The following is a 5,453-nucleotide window of genomic DNA, read 5'->3' on the forward strand; positions in this document are numbered from 1 at the left end:
AGCTCTTTTAGGGCAGGCCTGCTGGTGACAAAATCTCTCAGCATTTGCTTGTCTGTAAAGTATTTTATTTCTCCTTCGCTTATGAAGCTTAGTTTGGCTGGATATGAAATTCTGGGTTGAAAATTCTTTTCTTTAAGAATGTTGAATATTGGCCCCCACTCTCTTCTGGCTTGTAGGGTTTCTGCTGAGAGATCCGCTGTTAGTCTGATGGGCTTCCCTTTGAGGGTAACCCGACCTTTCTCTCTGGCTGCCCTTAACATTTTTTCCTTCATTTCAACTTTGGTGAATCTGACAATTATGTGTCTTGGAGTTGCTCTTCTCGAGGAGTATCTTTGTGGCGTTCTCTGTATTTCCTGAATCTGAACGTTGGCCTGCCTTGCTAGATTGGGGAAGTTCTCCTGGATAATATCCTGCAGAGTGTTTTCCAACTTGGTTCCATTCTCCCCATCACTTTCAGGTACACCAATCAGACGTAGATTTGGTCTTTTCACATAGTCCCATATAAGAAATATGTCCTTTCTGTTTGTTAGTTTTCCTTCTAACAGACAGGACCCTCAGCTGCAGGTCTGTTGGAATACTCTGCCGTGTGAGGTGTCAGTGTGCCCCTGCTGGGGGGTGCCTCCCAGTTAGGCTGCTCGGGGGTCGGGGGTCAGGGGTCAGGGACCCACTTGAGGAGGCAGTCTGCCCGTTCTCAGATCTCCAGCTGCGTGCTGGGAGAACCACTGCTCTCTTCAAAGCTGTCAGACAGGGACATTTAAGTCTGCAGAGGTTACTGCTATCTTTTTGTTTGTCTGTGCCCTGACCCCAGAGGTGGAGCCTAGAGAGGCAGGCAGGCCTCCTTGAGCCGTGGTGGGCTCCACCCAGTTCGAGCTTCCCGGCTGCTTTGTTTACCTAAGCAAGCCTGGGCAATGGCAGGCGCCCCTCCCCCAGCCTCGCTGCCGCCTTGCAGTTTAATCTCAGACTGCTGTGCTAGCAATCAGCGAGACTCCATGGGCGTAGGACCCTCCCAGCCAGGTGCAGGATATAATCTCGTGGTGCGACATTGTTTAAGCTGGTCGGAAAAGCGCAGTATTCGGGTGGGATTGACCTGATTTTCCAGGTGCGTCCGTCACCCCTTTCTTTGACTCGGAAAGGGAACTCCCTGACCCCTTGCGCTCCCAAGTGAGGCAATGCCTCACCCTGCTTCGGCTCGCACACGATGAGTGCACCCACTGACCTGCGCCCACTGTCTGGCACTCCCTAGTGAGATGAACCCGGTACCTCAGATGGAAATGCAGAAATCACCCGTCTTCTGCGTCGCTCACGCTGGGAGCTGTAGACCGGAGCTGTTCCTACTCGGCCATCTTGGCTCCCTGATATTTTAATTTTCTAGTAGTCACATTAAAAAAGTAAACAGAGGTTAAATGTATTTTAATTATATATTTTATTTAAACCTGTGTCTCTAAAGCATTACATCAACATATAATCAATATTTGAAAAGAATTAATGGGATGTACTACATGCTTTTTTGTCCAAACTGTCTTCAGAATTCAGTGTATATTTTTCAGTGTATTTGGTGTATTCAATGCTTATAGCACATCTCATTTCAGACTACCCATATTCCAACTTCTCATTAGTCACATGTGGTTAACAGCCATCATATTGAAAAGTAGAATTCTAGTTTCATTTTAATATTATCTTTATAATTAGCAAGTGAGTCTGAAAATCAGGAAGGTAGATGTATCTCTTGAATTTTATCTAGATAATCTTTGTAATATAATTGATGAGAAAAAAACAAATACAAATCAAGAGAGGGGAACTTCAATTAATGTCAAGATATACTATATATAACTGTTTAATCTATTCTCTTCCGTATTACTTATCTTTATTAGAATTAAGATGTATTGGTAGTTTTCGCTGAGTTCATCCTATTTATACATATAGATTTCCTTGCAGTTCAGTTTTCCTGTTAAACTGTGTTTATTTTATTAAATTAATTATCCTGTAAAATAATAGAGAATTATAATTACAATGTAATTGAATATTAGTGGTTTAAATAAAGCCCGTTATTAATTTTGCCAAGGAGATAAGTTTCTACACCACATAATTCTAAAATTATTGTAAAATTTAGAGGAACATGGGACCCTATATATTTCAAAGTCAGAATATTGGTATAGGGAGAGTAGATTATTCACTTATTTCATTTATAAAAATGAAAAGATTTGTTTTCTCAAGTTATCTCTGTGAAATATTTTTGTTAATATGTTCCAGAAAAGTTTGTTTGTTTATTTATTTACTAATTTTTTCTGAGTAGGTTCTGGTGGACAATTTCCAGTCTGGAGTCTGCATTTGGAGAGATTCTACAGCACATGCATGAATGGTAATAATCTTTTATTACAAAGTGGTTTCCAAAATGATCAGAGAAAGCAATACAATTCTAATTTCATTCCAAAAATGTCATTTGTTTTGGTACATTTGAATCATATAATCTATGCTTTATTTTATGCAGTGCCAGCAACAGCTTCTGCTAAACTACATAATCAATTTTTTCCGAGACATTCAGCTCTTCTAAACCAGTAAATTTTTATGAAAGGTGGGGTTTGGGGAGAAGTAGAATAGAAGGGTTTGAAAAATATTAAAGCATGTAATCGTCTAATTTATGTTGCCATTAATGACAGCCAAGGGTCAGAGTGCTAGGTTTATTACCTTTTAAGCACAAATTAATAGTTGATAAAAGTAGGAACGTGTTATGGAACATACAAGTGATTGTAACACCTACAAACATTGAAATACTAGGGCTAAAGCTGTTCTTGCTTGTGGGTTCCTAGGTTTATTAAATCATAGAAAATGAGTTTTATGAACAATCATCCAGATGGGAAAGTGTTCACATGTCACACAACATTTCACATATTTATGTGAAAAGCAATCTGTAACCACGTGCATATTAGAAATGAGAAAATGAATCTTCACATATGCAGGGGATGCCGTTAGGTACACAGCTGTATGAATTTGATGTTTTCCTGCCAGTGGATTTACCTGCTGCCACATAACTTTTGGGAAGTCAGGGTGTGTCAACCTACATAACAGAAAAAGTCTCTTTAAAAGAAAAAGGTAGTTATTTGGGACTAGAGCATTGACATGAGAATACATGTGCCGCAGTAAATTTATGTGCATATTCAGAAAGGTGAAAGAAGAAAAAGGTTTTTAAAGAAAAAAACAAGGATAATTACATAATTGTTTTGAGATAATTATCCATGGCTGCAAAGATAAATAACAAGAATGATTCCAGTTCCAGTATGAACAGGGAGTTGCTGGGCAGATGTCCTTGCAGAAGAATTTTGTGTGTAAGTTCGTGATGGTCTTTGTGCAAAGCTGTGGTTTTTGCAGAGGCCATTGTGATAGGTTTTGTTATCAGGCATACAGGCATGAGAACTTTCTCTTCATGGCCTTCCCTGCCTTTATTTGGCAGGGAATTTTTTTTTTTTTTTTTAACAGTAGTGACTCCATTTTGATTCTGACAACTTTCACAGTAGTGATTAATCTTTACAAGAAATTAAATTCCTAGGCATAAAGTGCTTTTCTTTGAAATCCACATTTAAGACTAACCTTCACATTTATAGTTTAACAAAAAAAGGAAATTAATTTTACATTACGCATGATTCTCATATCCAGAAATACAAAGATGTCACAGAATCACATATTTAGCTTCTCCTCTCCCTTTTCCCTTTATCTGACCATCTCTCTGTCCCCTTTTCCTCCCACCCCTTCTCATCTCCCTTTTTCTGTTCCTCCCCTTTCAGAATTTAATGAACACCCAATTGATTCACTTACGTGATTAATTGCCAGATGCAAAAATGTATAAGAGATAGCAAACAAATTTACTTTCTTCTTTTATTTTACAGTGAGAGAAAATTCTGATAGAATATATATATGCATGTTTTATATACTTATTTACACATTTGTATAATTTTAACTGCTTAACTCTTGAATTTCTTAAGATCAGAGTTTCTTCTTTGACTTAGTGCCCATGGGACTTGGAATTCTTCCTGGACTATAATAAACTTTTAAAAACTACTCAAATAAAATTGAACCCACTAAGTCCAATTGAATTCCACTACAGATCTTTAGAAAATCAATTACCATTAAAGTATAAAATGTATTATTTGCTCATGGACTGCCTTTCATAGTTTCCCCATAGAAATTATATTCCATTAATGCAAAATTGTACACATGACATTATATCACAATATGTTATAATAATTTCTGAGTAAATCTTGAAACGAATTGTCTAGCATTACTTTTAATATCTTTTACATTTTGAATTCTCAGGATCATTCTGAGCTACTTTACAATATGGCTAAATTTATTTATAATCACGCAGATAATCCACCATCCTTTCTTAGCCTTTTTATAAAAATTAAAGCACTAAGTATTTCCCTGCTTGGTGGCCCCGTTCAACTAATTCCTGAACAAAACAAAATCCCATCAGGATATTCTTTTTAGCCCATAAACTGAACATTATAAAGTTTGAAGTTTGGTAGCTGTAACAAGATGGTATGTTTGAAACTTGAATTTGAATTTGTGTAATAAGTTGCCAATTATGAAATGAAGAAAAGTTATTTTGGCAAAAATTGCAGAATACAAATCATTGCAATGACTAAAAATGGTTTAGCTTACCTTCTTTGTAACCCTGCTAGCTTACTGACAATGTAAATCTTTACATGTAATTGATATTCACTCATCTACTGTCTCCATACAGAATAATATGATAGATATTTAATATGTCATTTTACATATTTCCAACATGCATTGATTCATTTATTAAAAATAGAAGAAGAAAGACTAGCACAGGATGAATTAGAAATATTACTGACTTAGGAGTTATTGTTCAGTTCTTTATATTCTTCTATATCTGAATTCTGTTACTGAGCCCTAACTGCCTTTTATCTTGTTTCTTCTCCACAAGTAACTAGAGGCTAACGACTTACTTGTTGCCTTTTCCAAATTCTGATGTTTTCTGTTTCTCACTTGCGTTTTCCATATTCTTATGTCTCTGTTTCTCCCTAAAATTGATTATACTCTCTCACCATGTCTGATAACGTTTTATGCCTTACTTAACTAGACCTACTGATATCACACTATAGGAATAGCTTTCATTCATTTTGGGAGGCTGAGGCAGGCGGATCACCTGAGGTCATGAGTTTGAGACCAACCTGACCAACATGGAGAAACACCATTTCTACTAAAAATACAAAATTAGCCGGGCGTGGTGGCGTATGCCTGTAATCCCAGCTACTTGGGAGGCTGAGGCAGGAGAATCACTTGAACCTGGGAGGCAGAGGTTGTGGTGAGCTGAGATGGCACCATTGCACTCCAGCCTGGGCAACAAGGGCGAAACTCCATCTCAAAAATGAGAAGAAATAAAAAAAAGAAGAAGAAAAAGAAATAGACTTCATTCTTTTGAGAACCAGATA

General features: G+C 37.3%; 2 annotated features.

Moving 5' to 3' along the window:
• Positions 509 to 1,055: an enhancer, noted in NCBI's record as "H3K27ac-H3K4me1 hESC enhancer chr5:29191372-29191918 (GRCh37/hg19 assembly coordinates)". NCBI's record gives its function as "activates a minimal SCP1, AML or CMV promoter by ChIP-STARR-seq in naive H9 embryonic stem cells {active_cell/tissue: H9 hESC(naive)}" and the evidence as "EXISTENCE:reporter gene assay evidence [ECO:0000049][PMID:30033119]".
• Positions 1,056 to 1,602: an enhancer, noted in NCBI's record as "H3K27ac-H3K4me1 hESC enhancer chr5:29191919-29192465 (GRCh37/hg19 assembly coordinates)". NCBI's record gives its function as "activates a minimal SCP1, AML or CMV promoter by ChIP-STARR-seq in naive H9 embryonic stem cells {active_cell/tissue: H9 hESC(naive)}" and the evidence as "EXISTENCE:reporter gene assay evidence [ECO:0000049][PMID:30033119]".

Source organism: Homo sapiens, chromosome 5 (assembly GCF_000001405.40).
Source record: "Homo sapiens chromosome 5, GRCh38.p14 Primary Assembly".
Taxonomy (NCBI): Eukaryota; Metazoa; Chordata; class Mammalia; order Primates; family Hominidae; genus Homo; species Homo sapiens.